Source organism: Homo sapiens, chromosome 8 (assembly GCF_000001405.40).
Source record: "Homo sapiens chromosome 8, GRCh38.p14 Primary Assembly".
NCBI lineage: Eukaryota > Metazoa > Chordata > Mammalia > Primates > Hominidae > Homo > Homo sapiens.
This window is the reverse complement of record NC_000008.11, coordinates 107,438,113-107,456,124: the sequence shown is the minus strand read 5'-3', so window position 1 is coordinate 107,456,124 and position 18,012 is coordinate 107,438,113. Positions and strand designations below refer to the sequence as shown.

At 35.8% G+C, this 18,012-nt stretch overlaps 1 protein-coding gene across 3 annotated transcripts in view, besides 4 other annotated features; it reads left to right on the top strand.

The window, feature by feature from the left end:
- The window catches only part of ANGPT1 (angiopoietin 1), a 248,437-nt gene that overhangs the window by 41,794 nt on the left and 188,631 nt on the right, over window positions 1-18,012 (top strand). The window lies entirely within an intron of this gene.
- Window positions 9,504-10,024: an enhancer, noted in NCBI's record as "H3K27ac hESC enhancer chr8:108458329-108458849 (GRCh37/hg19 assembly coordinates)". NCBI's record gives its function as "activates a minimal SCP1, AML or CMV promoter by ChIP-STARR-seq in primed H9 embryonic stem cells {active_cell/tissue: H9 hESC(primed)}" and the evidence as "EXISTENCE:reporter gene assay evidence [ECO:0000049][PMID:30033119]".
- Window positions 10,025-10,547: an enhancer, noted in NCBI's record as "H3K27ac hESC enhancer chr8:108457806-108458328 (GRCh37/hg19 assembly coordinates)". NCBI's record gives its function as "activates a minimal SCP1, AML or CMV promoter by ChIP-STARR-seq in primed H9 embryonic stem cells {active_cell/tissue: H9 hESC(primed)}" and the evidence as "EXISTENCE:reporter gene assay evidence [ECO:0000049][PMID:30033119]".
- Window positions 10,846-11,391: an enhancer, noted in NCBI's record as "OCT4-NANOG-H3K27ac hESC enhancer chr8:108456962-108457507 (GRCh37/hg19 assembly coordinates)". NCBI's record gives its function as "activates a minimal SCP1, AML or CMV promoter by ChIP-STARR-seq in primed H9 embryonic stem cells {active_cell/tissue: H9 hESC(primed)}" and the evidence as "EXISTENCE:reporter gene assay evidence [ECO:0000049][PMID:30033119]".
- Window positions 16,033-16,229: a silencer, noted in NCBI's record as "fragment chr8:108452124-108452320 (GRCh37/hg19 assembly coordinates)". NCBI's record gives its function as "represses an EF-1alpha promoter that drives an FKBP-Casp9 reporter gene in an ReSE screen in HepG2 liver carcinoma cells {active_cell/tissue: HepG2}" and the evidence as "EXISTENCE:reporter gene assay evidence [ECO:0000049][PMID:32094911]".

The window sequence follows — 18,012 nt, the reverse complement described above, 5'->3', positions numbered from 1 at the left end:
TTTTTCAAAATTTTTGTTCATTTGAAAGAAATACACAATAAACTTTGTTATTAATACAATCATGTTGCTCTCTCATCTGCTGATGTGCTGATACATATACCAGATCTCCGAGGTACATTTCACATGGTAGGCAGGAAACCAATGAAGATCAACTTTCTGACTTCTTGTCCTTATAAAAACATGCTTTTTGTGGCTTCATTCCAATCCCCAAGTTGTGTATTTTGGGTCTTTCTGAGGCTGTTGCCATGCTTGAAAATACTGACAAAAGAGACTAATGAGGAGGGAGGTTCTTCTACCAGATTCTTTCTTGGAGATAAAAGCCTTGATTGTGATTTAATCCAGCCTCACTGCCTCTTCTATTGCAAATATTTTTATCATGAGATTTACCACAGGTAAGGAATATTTAACAACGAAAACAAAATCACAAGCATTACCCACATGACTCATGAGTAGAGGGCAGGAATTACTATAAATATCTATTTTTTTGTTAATAAAGTCTCCCTTTGAAACATTGTGCCCAATTCAAAACATAAGTTGGTTCAACAAGATACATGATGCAAAGGCTGTTGTATTTACTTGACTTTCATTCCTAGAATGGAAGGCCAGGATTAAACCACTTATTCACCACATTGCCAGGACATTCAGTGATAGTTATTAAACATAAAATGTAGGAAAACAGGATACATTTGCTGGAAATGTAAGCAGAGAATTCAATGAAAAGTTTAGCAGATGACTTGATGTACAGAGTTTAAGTCACTTAATAGTTTAATATGTAAGACAACTCCATCTAAAATTAGACAAATACTCTCATCTAATTTTAGATTTTAAACCAAAGAAGTTGCTAAAATTTTCAAACATTATTTATAAGTAAACTTACAGGAAACAGTTGTCTACATTTTTGAGCTATTCACATGGAGATCACGAAAGGCTCTGCTAAGGAATGAACTTATTTTGAACCAAAAAGGTCTTGTCCTTACACTCTTCCTGCTATCTTTCCTAATCATACAATCTCAGTAAGCGGGAAAGAGACTGCAAAGTAAGGTAGCATCTGGGAGCTATTTTTAGGTTGAGTAAAAGGCTTCTGAAGGAATATTTTGAGAAAGTGGCCAGAGAGGAAGACATATAGAAGCCAAAGGTCAGTAGAAGAGGGTGGAACCCATTTCCAAACCACTTCATTTTACAAGCCCAGGCAATGTTTTGAGGAAGTACACCCTAGACATTTCCACCTCTTAGACAGATCTCCCATTGTTTGTTCTTTGCCTTCTCAATAAGAGCATACTAAGGTATTTTACAGACCCCTTTAACACTGGAGTAGGTATATGTATATGTGTATGTATTTAAAGGACAGGGAAATAAATACTACTGTGAGTTGAAGAGCCAGAAACAAAGTTAGGCAGGTGAAATTTGTCTGAGAAACCTGACATTCCCATGCTGATTTCAAGTCGGCATTTATGAATACTTAGGGTTTGCATTACATCTCAGCGCATTAGCGGGTTGTTTAGATTGCTGAACAAAATATGTGATACTATTTGCAAGTAGAAAATGTACTACTTGCTACTTAGTGTGTACTTCTAGACATGTAGGAAGACATGTATAGATAACACTACTCTAATGACTAAAAAAATAAAGTTACAGATTTGCATCAAGTTGCCTCTAACACTACCAGGTAATCAAAAGTGAAGGCAAACTGGTTCAAAACTTGTTCTAAGTGACTTGTTTGAGAACTGATTTGTATTTTAACAAATAAATAGAATAGACAGTCTTGTCCAATAGCAGCATGTCTTGAAATTGAATAAAGATAGAATCTAAATACTGCTGATAACATCACAAGTCACCCTCCCTACACAACTCCCTCTTAACTATTGCATTTTTAGGCTTTTAAGGTCACTCAAGTACATCTATTAAAAAACAAAGCTGGGATTATGTAACACGCCATGCACTATGCTTAGTTCTTTTCTGAACCATTTGCCTGGGAATGCACCACCCGTGAAGCAAAAACCAGAAGGAACATGAAAATAGGTAGGACTTTAGGCAGCGGTCTTTTCATTCATATTATATCAGTAGCATCAGTTCATCACTGAAAAATGAGAAAATCTTGGTATGCTAAATGAGTACAAATCACCACCACATAACAGAGACAACCATACCTATTCTTAACATCTTTTAAATAAACTCTCCCAGGTATTTTTCTTCACAGATGTGTGAATTTATTTTTTAAAACTATGGTGACTCTATAAATGGCGTTTCAAGATCTTTTTTTTTTTAAATCTCAGCATATACTATGTGCATCTGTTCATGTCAAGAAATATACTTCGCCACCTCATTTAATAGTCATTTAAATCCACTTTACCCAATCATCTACTGTTGAGCATCTAGATTTCTAACCCAATTTTTTATGATAAATAGCCAAACATCACATTGTCCTCAAAATATACATAATTATTATTTGTAAATTAAAAAGAAAATAAAACTTTGATATGGTTTGGCTGTGTCCCCACCCAAATCTCTTCTTGAATTCCCATGTGTTGTGGGAGGGATCCAGTGGGAAGTAATTGAATCATGGGGGCAGGGCTTTCCCATGCTGTTCTTGTGATAGTGAATAAGGCTCACGAGATCAGATGGTTTTATAAGGGGGAGTTTCCCTGTATAAGTGCTCTCTCTTTGCCTGCTGCCATCCATGTAAGATGTGACTTGCTCCTCCTTGCCTTCCACCATAATTGTGAGGCCTCCCCAGCCATGTGGAACTGTAAGTCCATTGAACCTCTTTCTTTTGTAAATTGTCCAGTCTCAGGTATGTCTCTATCAGCAGCATGAAAACAGACTAATATAAACTTAAAAATGGTATTGCAATGAGCATCTTTGTAAATGAATATTCTTTAATTGTTTTTAGTCAGAATTCTTAGAAATCGAATTTCTGGAATAAAAATAATAATACAGAGGTCCAAATAATACTTCAGATAATCTGTGCCAAATTAATGTATGTTTATGTTAGCATTGTGTGAGAATGATCACTCCTCAACATACAGAAACACACACACATGTGCATCTTTACAAGCATTGGGCACCATCATTTAAAGAGTTCATTAAGCATTTAACCTTTTTGGATGTAAAGTTATAGTGAATTTTCCCCGTGCAATGTATTTCAATAAAGGAAAATAGGCTTATATAAATTATTTCTCAAAATTTATTTATTAATCATTTTCAGAATGTCTAGTGTGTGTTTAGTGAAAATCTTGTGAATGGAGATTTCCATGAGGAAGACTAAGCAAAAAACAAGCATTTATTGAGCCTGTACTATGTGTCAAATATATTTAATCTCATTTAATCTTTAGAAACACCTGGCAAATAAAAATTATTATCTCCACTTTGGATATGAGAAAGCTCTTGGAGTTTGGGCAGTTTGTGCAAGTTGACACAAGTTAATGCAAATTCTGGAAATATAAGTATTTTTTAAAATTTAAGAAATATGTATATGAAGCCATTTTCTCTGGCTGTGATTAAATATATGGCCATCAAAAGTGGGGAGGAACTTTTAATATTTTCTCCCAATTTATAAAATATATTGATTAATGTAACAATAAATTTTAGCCATGCATATCTATTACAAACTTCAAAAAAAATAAAAATAAAAAAATAAAAATAAAGAAATAAAAGTGGGGAGGGAGATTATGTATTGGTAAATAATTTTTACCTAAATGAGACGTGACTTCCAAAAATGTATCATGGTGTGTTTACAATATGAATGTGCATGGTGCAATAATATGAAACTGGGATCCACAGCTTTTTGGCTTTTTGGCTTGATGGTCCATGGTCTCTCCGTAAGATCCTAATTATAAAGGATATGAGGATGTGTCATTGCTCACATTTTCTCTAATTTCATTTTATTATTTAGAGGGAAAAAATTTGGTACACATCTCTCTGTATGGACGGTAGTAGAATAATAATAATATATAATAAAATAGTATATATTGTGGTAGACATCGTGTCAGAAGGCTGGTTGATTTTATCTTTTTAAGTGTTAATATCCTGTCTTATTCTATTCATTCTATACGGAACTTGTGGCTAAGACACACACATACACATGTACACACGAACACACATGTAAATAGTATACATACATATAAACAAATATAAAGTATAAAATAAAAATTTAGGAATTAAGTAAACAGAAAACAAAGAGAAAAACAAAGATCAACATGGTGAAAAACACATTAATAGTCCTTTAAAATTGCTGATGGTGAATCAAAAATTAAACTAAGAGTTCTGGCAGTCAAATAAAAAGGTAAGCACAATGAACATAAACATTTAAGAATCCAGGAGAAACACAGTTTCCCTGATACTCAGGTCAGTGAAACATCTTCCTTCCTTTTTCAACAAGAGATTACTATAGGTGTAAGATGACCTCCACAATGGCATCCCTGTGATAATGTGATTTTCGTATCTGTTTTCCCATTCTATGCCCCAGTTAGACCTTCTCACAAATCATTGTCCAAATGATTTATAAAATAACAAGTTCCATGTTTAAGGGAGTCATCCATTTTAGTCACTTTGAGAAAATGTGAAGTGAATAAATGTCACCATATGGATATAGATCTGATTCTATAGTACTAAAGCATTTACAACACTGTTGACAATGAACCAGAATATTCTATTGATAAAATCTCTCCCCTTGTCATAAATTAACCTCAATATCTATTAAAGCTGAACTCTCTTAGGGCCAATGGTATTCTCTGGAAGATATTGAACCTAGTATCATAAGGTTGAAATAAAATGTGCACGTACACGTGTGTGTGTGTGTGTGTGTGTGTCTGTTATGTATGTATTAGTGTATAAGTGTAAGTGGTGGAAGAGCAGTTTCTCTCTTCATTTTTAACCCTTCCTGAATCTGTACTTTATATGCAGTCACTGCTCAATTGATGTCTCCTGTTGGTAATCATCAAAGGAAACAGATGGTAGGAAAGAGTTAATGCAAATTCTGGTAGTATAGTATTTTTTTAATTTAAGAAATATATATGAAGCCACTTTCTCTGGCCGTGATTAAAGGTATGGCCATTAAAAGTGGGGAGGGAGATTATGTCTTGGCAAATAATTTTTACCTAAATGAGAAGTGACTTCCAAAAAAAGTATCATGGTGCATTTACAATACGTTCTAGTAAATATGTAGAAGGCAGTCATACATTGCCTCATCTGCAATATAATACTAACTGTGATGTAATATTAACTGCATGGGGTGATTGTGGGGTAAATCAAGGGAAAGTAATTAGCAGAGTTTCAAGCACAGAGTAAGTACTCAATAAATATGATTTATTCTACTATTACTAGTATTATTATAACTTTAATATCTATTATTTCCTGCTCTAAAATATATATTATATATATTCACATGCACACATGCACACACACACACACACACACACACCTATTCCCATTTGAATGTTCTTGGCAATACCCTTGAAAATATTTCATTTGGGTCAAGCATTTTTCAGAACTTTTTTCTTAAAATAATATTAGACTTTACTGTGTTTGTTTTGGTTGATTTTGCTTTCTTTCTGAATGCTCTTGGCAATTTCTTATGTGCTTGTTATTCCGATCCAAACTGGGGAGGAAAATATCTCACAAAACAGCACAATGTAGAAGACCACACAGTGATTTATAAAGGTCCCTCTTTCCGCCCATAGAGCTTTTAATGGGGAAACTCATCTATATTGCTGCGTCAAGAAATCACCACCTTTATCACATAACACAGATGTAAATGAACCATATAAAAGCAAGTAATCCTTAACTCTACTACAGGAAGCTAGAGCAGAATTTGAGCTTTAGCAGATGCTCAGAATGTGTAACTAGCTGTAGAGATGAAATGTGTTTGTTAACAAGAAGTAATACCAATAGTTTATCTATGACAATGGCTTTAAAATTACTTTTTAAAAACTCAAGCCTTTTCCAACAATACCGTATGTCCCATATGGTTCCTCCAAGTCATTTTTAGTTCTCAGGTCATTTTTAGTTCTGTGTCAGCTTTACTTGGATTCAGGTAGAATGCTTTTGCCATACTGTGTTAATTTTGTGCCCTTAATCAAAACACTAATTTTCATATTTTAAAGATTCAAACAGTTATCTATTGCAAAATTCACTCTTAAAACCAGAATTTTATCATCAGATATTTAGGTGCTTCTAAGCTTTGTAAGTACATACACACTATAACAAATTGAGAGAAGGCAAGTCTAACCCAAAGAAAATTATTTGATAGTAAGTTTAATATAATTTATTCTTGATTCATCATACAGGACGAATATGCAAAGACACACACATAATGTTATTAGATTTCTATGAGTTAATACGTATAAAGAATGAAGACGGGTTCTTTGCACAAACTAAGAAATCAATAAATATTACAACATGGCCTAAACTCAAAACGTGTGTGCTAATGCAAGGAAGTCATGCAACAGTTGAAAACATAGTTATTCCAAGGTAAGGTACATCTGGCTACAAAGTTTGATGAAGTGGTAAATAAATAGGTCTCATTTATATTATGTAACAGAGAAAATACTTCCTTCTATGCAATTTTGCTTAAGTACCCATTTCAAGCACTGGTAATTACCTGTTCCATCATGTTTGAGCCCCTGAATCTCAAGTGAAACTGTTGATTTGAGGACCTGCTCTCCCAGTAAATTTTCCCTTAATATATCAGAAGTTTTCTGTGTGTGTGTGTGTGTGTGTGTGTGTGCATGTGTGTGTGTGAGTGTGTGGGTGCTTTATTAATAAGGGGTTTATAAAGTCAGTAAAAAGCTCTGCCTACTATAGATTGAAATACATAGTTCATTAAATAGGTTACTTTATGTCATAAAGGCAACTAGACCAAAAACATCACCAAGGAGGGGTGTCTGTGTTTTATTCTTTGTTCCACTGACTATCTATTACAGCATCAAGAACAATGCAGGTTTTTAACAACTGTTTGATGTAGGGACAAGTAAATGAACAGGCATCACTAGAGTAATAGAACTTCCCCTGCTATTGAGAAAATTTCCCTTTTATTTTGACTAGACATGGCTAAAGGAAATCACTTCCTTCCTTTTCTTCTGTGCTCCTCAGGATTCATGTAGAGCACTGATATCTCCTATGTCCTCTGCCATCACTCCCCCAACAATGAGTCAGACCATGTCAATTCAGCCTGTGAACCCTCTCATAAGAAGACTTATAGGCTGATTACCAAAAATCTCTCTGTGTCCAAACTTGGCCCGTGATAGGCAAAATTAACTCTTTGCATATAGTTCTGGCTATGTCTTTCCTTACTTACTAATGCACATGTTTGTGCAAACTTAGGTAGGTGGGATTCTTTTTGGGTTCTCGCTATAGAATGTTTTATCTAAAGACGTTCTTTTTGCATTATTTCAATGAGAGTGGTTTTATAGATAATCCTGATTTGGGGTATAAAGAGAATTCCTTTTGACCTAGCCATACCTAAAATAATTTACCCAAATGACAAAGGTCACTTGCTTTCTGGTCACTTCCTGGGTTGCCAGTCCTATCAAATTCCACCTCCAGAGTCCTCTCCTGTACTCCCTAGCCATCCTCCTCAAAAACATACACCGTAAGAGCAGAGTTGGGAGATTACCCTTTTCTGCTTAGCAATCCTCTGAAATTTTGCTCTTTTACTAGATACTTATATATAACCACATAGTCAGCTTTCTGTATTTCAAGGAAGAAAATAATAGAAAACAAATGGAAAAGTGATAGAGGAAGAAATGAATTAATCGAATTAATTTGTTCTGTCAATATAGCCTCTATTTCAGGGACAGTTTCATAAAAAAGTTGCATTATGATAGAAGAGTATCTCATTAGTTTTAAGGAATGTAGAGAAATAGATTTACCTACAAAATACTTTGAACAATTTAGTTAAGAATCACTGAAATGATAAAATGTATTTAAGTAAGTCCTTATATGTAATTACCTTCTTATTAAAACTTGACATTAATGAGAGTTATGGAGAACATACCATACCACAGTTCATTCATTCAGAACTCATGTCCTTTGTCTTTCATGTAAATAAGAGAGTAAATCCCAGAGATTGTGTACTCACACAAACAGCAAGTCCACCTCTGCCACTAACTAACTGTAGGACCCGAAGTAAGCCACATAACTCAATGAGGCTTCAGCTTCTGCCTAAGTCCAAAGAAGAAACAGACATTCAAATTCATAACTTTCAGAATTGTGTTAACCTTCAAAATCCCTTGCTCAAATCCTTTGCGTAAACTTACTCAGACACAGGTAGTCACTGGATCTGCTTTTGTGGATTGTGTGTGTATGTGTGTCTGTGTATGTGTCAGGAATCCCACTGTAGCATTACTCCACACTCTTACTCTACAAAGAAACCCTACAGAATATTTCATTGCCTAGGAGCCTCATTGGAAAGCCACTGAACTGGTGGCCCTCTAAATTACTTTCAAATTCTGTTATTCCCAACTGTATATGTGTCATGACCTGCCTGTGCAGTTTTAAGTGGGCTGTGAGAATGTCTTACCAAGAAGGTGACATTTAACTGGAAGAAAATGAGGATGTGAACAATGCAGATAACTAAAGGAGGAGTGGTCTAAGGCAGAGGGATTAGCCTGTGCAAACACTCTAAGGCAAGATCATTTCCACCCATTCCACTGGCCAAAGAAATACATTTGTTCATGCTCATAGTTAATGTGGCAGGGATGTATAGTCTGTTTGCTTTTTTAAGAAATACTAGAAATTCACATGGCAGAAGGCATGAGTGCATAATTCTGTACCATAGAGGGAATAATGAGTTGGAAAGAATCTAATCTGCCCCACAGGCACTTTGCCTTTGAGTGGAATGGGGAGCCCTTGTATGGCTTCAAGAGATAACCTGATTCCAATTTCAAACATGCAATCACATCTGATTTCTGTACTGAAAATATAATCTAGGGGAAAAGGGCATGAGCAAGGAGACAAGGTAGAAGCCCATTACAATAATGCAGTGAGGGATCATAGTGGCTCAGACCAGGGTGGTCGCAGTAGAAATAGAAGTGGTCAGATTTCAAATGTTTTGAAGGTAGAGTCAACAGGATTTCTTGAGGCGTTGGCTATGAGAGAGGAACAGAAAAAGGAGTCTTCAATCTGGGCAACTCTACTAGAAGGAGAGTGGCCATCAACTGAGATGGGGAAGACTGTGTATACAGAGGCCTGAGTGGAAAATTGGAAGCTGAGTTTTCGTTATTTTATGTTAGAATTGCCTATTTGGCACCTGAGTGAGAAGTCAAGTATACAATTGTTGAGTCTGGAATTTAGGAGAGAGATGTGGGTTCAAGAGTAAAATTTGAGAGCCTCAAGCATATAGAAGATATTTAAATCCATCTCCCATACTCTGCAATAGCCACATAACTGGTCTATTAAGTTCTATTCTTTCCATATTCCAATGCATTTTCCATCCTGCCAACATTTACGTTTTCAAAGCAAACCCTGATTCTATTCCTCCCTGCTTAGCCATAGCTAAGCCATAGCTTAAAACACAAAATACAAATGTAATATAGAGGTTCAAAATCTGGCCAAAATCTATTACCACTTTATCTAGTAAAATCCTCTTTATCTTTATAGGCCAAATTCCAATGTCAACTATTCTGTTCAATTTTCCTGATAGCCCCAAGAAAATTAAACTGTTCCTTGGCTTTTCTCACTCAGAACTTATCATATGCTGCTTACTGTATTGTCCAATATGGTAGCAGCTAGCCACATGGGGCTATTGTCCACTTAAAATATGGCTAGTTCAAACTAACATGTGCTGCAGATGTAAAATCTGCATCTTAATCAAATACTTACTACAAAAATATATAAAAATCTGACAAATACTTTTATATTTCTGAAATGGTAATATTTTGGATGTATTGGGTTAAATAATATACACTATTGGCCGGGCGTGGTGGCTCATGCCTGTAATCCCAGCACTCTGGGAAGCCAAGGCGGGCAGATCATGAAGTCAGGAGTTCAAAACTAGCCTGCTTAACATGGTGAAACCCAGTCTCTACTAAAAATACGAAAAGTTAACTGGGCATGGTGGCACGTGCCTGTTGTCCCAGCTACTCAGGAGGCTGAGGCAGAAGAATCGCTTGACCCCGGGAGGCAGAGGTTTCAGTGAGCCGAGATAGCGCCACTGCACTCCAGCCTGGGTGACAGAGCTAGACTTCATCTCAAAATACATAAATTAGTTAATTAATTAATTAATTAAATAATAAACATTGTTAATTCCACCTATTTATTTTCTACTTTCCACGTGTAGCATACTAGAAACTTTAAAATCATATATGTGGTTTCTCATCTGTGGCTTGTAATTTATTTCTATTAAACAGTTCTAGTTTAAATCATACATCCCATTGTGTGATTACACAGTGTTACTCGTATCTATTTTTCTGATAGATTCTGAATTTTTGAAAACAGAAATTATGTTTGATTTCTCCTTCCAGGACCCAGCAGGACTCTTGGCTAGATGCCCGATAAAAGTTAATTGGAAGTTCTTGGATTTCTGATTGATGTCTCTCCTCAGACACTGATGTGTGAACAGATTGCCTACAATGTAAAATAGAATTTGGAAAAAAAAAGTAGGAGGTCCATAATATATATTTAAGAAACCTAAATACTTGGCCAAAGTCATCCAATTTTAGCTGACCACTGACCACATATAATTTTTGAACTAAAAATTATAACTCTTGAAGGAATTCTAGGAACCTAGGAGCATTTCCAAGGGACAAAAATAATGGTAAGAGTGTAAGTTTCTTCTTCTCACTTTTGTATTTTCTCCCTCCCCATTGCATCCAAATACAATGATTTTGGAAATAAAATTTAAATTTAAAATATCCACTAAGCAATGAGATGAGAGCAGGATCCGTCAGAATAATCAATCCGATATATGTTATAATCTAGTGGCAAGACAGTAAAATGTTTCCCGAAGCTCTTTGCCTCCAATAGAAAAGATTCTGATATGATAGGAGATGTGATGTGATTCTCTATAGGCAGCATGTGCAGAGAGAACCACAGCTGTAGAAAATGCAAAGTGAGAGACTGCAAATTAGTATGTATTGTCAGCCCCCTTCAGGGTGAAGTGCGGATTCTAATGACCATTCCTAGGTGTCTAGACAGAAATACCCCTGCAGGGAAGAAGAATAACATCTCAAGATATGTTAATTTGATGTAAATCTCCTTTTGCCATGCTGAATTTCTCCTTTATAGTTCACTCCCCGGGTTTTTGGTTTGTTGTTTGGTCTCTGGAGTGCCCTGCCCTTCAGAAAATGGGTAGAGAGGTGCAATTTATCTCCCATGAAAAATTAATAGCTATCATCTGATCTAGAAATCATTGTCTTACATGCTTGGTCAGGGTAAGTGATTTTTTCACTCTCATCATTGTGAAGTAATAAAACTGATGCCTGAACCTGTAGATAGTCCCTGTTAAAACTATATTTAGGAAACCCCACATAAGCAGAGTCTGTCAGTCTCTATGTCTTTTGACTTCATACCAGCTTAACTTACCAAATTTTAAAGATTTTTCTAGACATTATTATTGGAAACCTATACAATTTTGCTTCAAATTGCAAAATCTTCATTTGCATTTACAGAGTGGTTTTGTTTCACTGAGAATGAGGGATAGGACCTCGTGCTTCTAGACTGCTGAGCTCATTTGCATGTTCAGCCACATTCTTCATTGGCTGACCAACTGACATAAACAGAAGAAGGCTGATCTATTACCTTGACATATAAATGTATCCTTGAAGAGAGTGTGATTTGCTTTTTCCTCATAAATTGTGTATGGCCTCTGTGGGAGAGATAATGATGCTCAGAAATCAATTTAATCCTAAAAACCTGTCCTTTCCCCTAGGTATCTGAGCCAAAATATGATGTACTTTTAGAACTCCCAGTGTTGCTAAATATCTTGCTCAACACTTAATAGTTTGAGGTTTAGGGGTTTTGTTTGGCATTAAGCACTGGTGCCAGTGATTCAGGAATGATACATCCACATATAACCCATGGACAATTGAGCCAGATGCTCCCAGAACAGAATACTTTCTGAGAGCAATTTAGACAATTTTGGAAGGACATAGACTCTTCTTGAACACATTTAATGACATTGCCATTAAGCATACTAAATCATACCAAATAGTATGAATCTGTACTTAAAATCTGAGAGAAGACATTAACGAGAATTCATTTTGTGTTTGTCTGCATGGTAACTTCATGTTCTCCAATACCAATGATCCAATCTCATTTTATCTTTTTGGTTAGAGTGGTATACTAGTATACTTTTTTTTTTTTTTTTTGAGACATAGTTTCGCTCTTGTTGCCCAGGCTGGAGTGCAATGGCATGATCTCAGCTCACCACAACCTCTGCCTCCTGTGTTCAAGCGATTCTCCTGCCTCAGCCTCCTGAATAGCTGGAATTACAGCCATGCGCCACCACACCTGGCTAATTTTGTATTTTTTTTTTTTTTTTAGTAGAGACGGGATTTCTCCATGTTGGTCAGGCTGGTCTTGAACTCCTGGCCTCAGGTGATCCGCCCGCCTCAGCCTCCCAAAGTGCTGGGATTACCGGCGTGAGCCACCGCACCCGGCCGGTATACTAGTCTACTTTTAAAAATCTTTTATTATGCCCACTATATTATTAAGTATATCATGAATACTTGAATCCTAAGAATCAGAATTTTTGACCCGAGAAAATATTAATGATGACTTAGCTCAATCTCCTAACATTAGCTAATTAACTTTCTCAAAGACACTGATTCATAACTGAGAGACAGAACCAGGAGTGGAACCTGGGCCTCCTAAATTCCGGTCACAATCTTTCCACTGCATGATTTTGTCTTAATTCACCAAAGGTATTCACTGGAGAGGAGAAAATCTGTTGAGGCAGGTATTGTTCCTGACCTGTGGGGTGACTAGGATATCTTCCCTGCCCTCAGAAATCTTATGGCCCCAAAGGAAGACAGCTAAGAATGCAGATCTTTTAAGTTATGTAGATATTCTGATGGAAGTATATAAAGTAGAAAAGGGGAACACACACACAAACACAAAGTTATCAGTTACACTGAAAGGTAATTGGGACATGCTTAATGAAGAATGAATCTTGGGGATTTTGAAAGAAAGACTGGGCTGGGCATTCTACATTAGGAAAAGAATATTTAATTCTTGTCTCTGCTATTAGGAGACTGTGCAGGTGTTACCAAAAATATAAGTGCAGCTGAAGGGATGTTTCTTATTTGCTCTATGCAGAAAAAATATAGCACCTTCTTACAAGCAGATACTTAGCAGGCTGAGTTACTAAGACTTGTGGAAAATTAAAACTTTGGGACAGTTTTAGCAATACTTCTATACTGTAAGATTTAGTTTGTGTGTGCACATGTGTGTCTTTTGAAAGCAGTCATTGCCACTTTCAAAGCAATAAACCAAAACTACTATATTTGAGGGAATAGGATAATTTAGGAAGGTAGAAGATACGGAGTTAGGGTCATCCTATGAGAAATATAAAGCTAACCCAATAGCTTCCATTGTCTTATAGAAGGAAATCTTTTTAGAAGAGAAGCAACCCACACTTTTGGACAATATTTTAAGGGACTTGGTTTGCTTACTCTTACACTTCTTTCTTGAAAAATCTGTTATCTAGTAAGGAGCTACACAAGGCAGATGTGGCATTTGTAAAACCTTTAAAATAAAAATAGATTAAAATAGGAAGCTAAGTACAACTTGAAACTAGATTAGATGGTAACATAAGAAAATGTGAGTGCAACATGACCTACACTAGTTTGTATTTGTTGGTCTAAACTACTCTTTGCCCAAATGTATTCTTTTCCTTTTTCATCTTCTGTCATTTACATTGCCACAGATATTCAATAGAAGTATTTTGTGATGTCATACTCATGATCACTTTATTAAGGAGGTACGTGCATGAGCATATGTGAAACATGCAAATGTTTAAATACACGTTCAATTCTCCTTGACTTCCAGCTAAAACATGACCTCTGGATCTACGAGGTGATGGGACTCCCCCAGCTTTTTTTTTGAGACGGAGTGTCACTCTGTCACCGAGGCTGGAGTGCGATGGCGTGATCTTGGCTCACTGCAACCTCCACCTCCCGAGTTCAACCGATTCTCCTGCATCAACCTCCTGAGTAGCCGCGATTACAGATGCGCGCCACTACCCCTGCCTAATTTTTGTATTTTCAGTAGAGACAGGGTTTCACTATGTTGGTCAGGCTGGTCTCGAACTCCTGACCTCGTGATCTACCCACCTCGGCCTCCCAAAGTGCTGGGATTACAGGCATGAGCCATGCGCCTGGCCAGGACTCCCCTTTTTAATCTGCAAAGACCTGACTTCTATTAGGGGTGTGGGTTAGATAAGAGCCACACCAGGCCCTGAACCACGTATAATCTCATTTAGTCATCACAAAGGACTCGGAGGTTATTATTCTCATTTCCAATTTTACACATAAGAAAACTGAGGTTCAAGGAGATTGAATAAATTGTTTAGGATTAAACAACCTGTTAGTGATGAAGCAGCAATTCAAATAAAGATCTGTCCGACTCCTGAGCTGATGAGCTGATTTTCTCTCTACTTGGCAATGGGGTACCACATTATAGAAAGTCCTAAGTGAACAACAACAAATTCTGTGGAGAAAATCCAGTAGAGCAAGAGACTTAGTGCAATTCAGAAGGAGGAATAACTAGGGTACAAGTGAACTCAGAGGGAACCTGGTAGCTTTCTTCGAATATTGAAAAGATTACCAGGCCAAAGGAGTTATTATGATTGCTTTGCATGATCCCTAGGGGTAGAAAATAAACCAGTATGTATGTTGAAGTTTTAGGAAAACAATATTATATGAGAGAACTTTCCAAGAAAGATGATTAAGGATAGATAGACAGCACTTGCTTGGAAGGTAATCAATTTTCTGTCGGTTGACTTACTTAATTATAAGCTGTGTAATCATTTGAAAGACTATTACCAGAAACAAATCAAAGCCAAAACTCATAGCTTAATGAATTTGCTTTATTCTGGCTACTGTCAGTTGAATAAACTGTGTAGTTAAAGTATCAAGATAATGATTGAGTGATTTTCTAAATAAACAACTGAAACCTGAAAGCATTGCCATGGTTGGTTTCTGCTAGATTTATTTCCTTTCCTTTGGTTTTATCCAAGTACATAAAAGGTGATTTGGAAAGAGTATCTCTTTTCTCTAGTTTAGAGTGTCCACATTAGACATTTTAAGTTAAGCATATGACATGGCAGGATCAACTTTAAAAAACAGAAATATCATATATCTTCAAATTGAAGTTTAGAAAATATTCTATATTACCTACTGGTTATTCTGACTTACTTCTGCTAAAGTGAGGAAATATTTCTAAAGGTGAATATAGTTAAACACCATCAGCCTGTTGTTTTTAAAAGGACATGTTAATGCTTGTAGAAGACCTTTGGTTTTCCAATTATGGTATTATACATTGCTTTAAGTCAATCATTTAAAGTATGCATATTTTAATTTAGCACAAGTGCGAATCTAAATTATAGTCACAAAAGAATTGACAATTTGTAAACAAAAATGCATGCTAGCATAGGACTTTGAATCATCCCACATTTGCTCTCATGTATATCTGCATATTTGTATTTACTGAATGAATGAAAAAATGGAAACCTATTTGCTCAATAACCTTGACCATGTCATTTCACCCACTTGGGCTGCTACCTGCCTATAAACTAAAGAAATTGGATCAGAATTTTCTCAAGTTTCTCCTAGATCTAAATGAGTAAGTGTGTAAAATTTGATGCTGTATTAACCCCCAGAGGGAATGTAGAAACTTTAAAAAAATGTAATTAAAATAGTGAATGTTTTTAATCATCTTCTGTGGTTTGCAAGCCACATTCTCTGAGCAAGTCAAGATGCTTGAGCCCTCAATTTTATGTACCACCCACCTCTATGCAGACAATTTCCAGAACTTCCTCTCCTGCCCTGACCTTTCATATTCTACCCAGTCACATATTTCTTTCTGTTTATGGAACATCTTTACTTAGATGTTCTGCCATCACCTAAATCTAAACATGGGGAAGAAAAGGGAATTATGATCCCTCCTTAGCCCATCTATTCTGCTTTCCCTGCACCATGGTTTCCGAGGCAGATACCCCTGGCATCCCCTCCCCATTCCAATTACCCACCATGTCCAGACTAATACCGAGTCTACTGATTCCTACTCAGTGTTTTTTCTTCCTCTACTTCTGAATTTCAACAGTCTCAGCCTGAGCCAAGCTCAGCACACATAGACTCTTTTAAGGGCCTCCTGGTGAGCCTGCCTGCTTGTATTGTTTCCTTATTTTCATGGACACTATGAAGAACCACAGAATACTTTTATTCAAATCCTTTTGAGCAGCAATACAAACTCCTTTCCTGAGTGTAATTTAGCAGCTGGTATGTGCCTTGAGGATAGTATTTATTTTTACATGCAAATTTCAAACATAAATATTTACTTATGTAAGTTCTGTCTCATATTAGAACAGGAATTGGTTTAGCATTGGAAGCAGGTCTTTTTTTCCTTTCTTCCTTATTTCTACAGATATTCGTTAAAAAGTGATTCATGTAAAACACTCTACCAAGCTCTCTGACAGCCATAAATATAGATCAAAGATGGCTCTTGTCCCTGTGGAGAACATTCCTACTTCCTAAAGTAAAGGAAAGTAAAATTGGTTGAGTACATTTAGGCACTGACATAAGGTCATGATGTTAATTTTCTCATTTTGGCTTTCTAGAAAACTTTGTACAATACAGTTATTATCTCCGTTTTACAGATGGGGACAATAAGGTTAGAAGAAGTTAAATAACTTACTCCCAGGTCTGACTCTGAAGCCCTGGTTCTTAGTTCTATGGGCCTGCACTGGAATCTGTATTTACTGGTTTCTAAATTAATGGCATTTCCAGATTAAGTCTGGTATGATAACAACCTAGAAATTTGCTAAGTGATTTCCTATAAGTCTGAGTGACTAATATGTATCTAAACTTTCTTTTTTTCTCATAAGCAAGTGATGTTCACTAGCATAAAAAGTATATTAGATTGTAAACACTATCATAAGCAGTAGTCCATATTCCACAATCTACAGGAGACTCTATATATGTGAACATGAACAACTTTATGTAAAAATAATATGTTGTTTTTAGATCTCAAAAATTCATTTCATTAAAAAATACATTTTGTTCGTAAATCAAATAACATATGGTTTTATGTAGCATACATTCATTCTCTCATGTTAATTATTATATTTATTAATCCTGCCCTCTCTAAACCCTGGTAAAAATATTTTTGGATGCTCATTTTTCAATAAATAAGACAATTATTTTCTTCTAAGACCACCCACTACATAAAATGAATTTGCATCTGGAGTGGTTTTTGTCAACAAACTTCAAAAGAACATATCAGATAATTTTGGTGATAACCATAGCCTAAAATATCAGGTTAACATTTATATAAATAGTAAAGATAAGCATATGGTTTTCTCCCCTGATGCCAATTTGCTGTCTTTGAAGATTGTTTTCATAAATAATTACAGTGTATAACAAAAATTCTTCAGTTTCCGTGTTTAGAATAAAATTACCACCTTTCTACTAGGAACATATTTTGTAAGAACCTGATATTTAAAATCTTCAAAATAGAAAGATTCAAACTATTTTCAATAAGTATTTAGAATGTATTTTTATATGGATGAACAGTCTTTATCAGGAAATATCACTGGAATTATATCAAATGACAAAAAGACCCCCTCCAAAGACTAATAAAGATGGAGGTGACAAAGAAGAAGAAGAAGAAGATGATGATATCAAAGAAGGAGAAGAAGGACAAAGAAGAGGTAGAAGGAAAGGAAAGAAGGAAAAGAAATAATCATAATGCTAAAGGTAAACTGGGATTTCACATGGGCCATTATTAACAAATGATTCTGTAGTTTCTCATTTCCTTATCTCTGCATTGTGAAACAAATAAAAGAGCTTTCTTCCT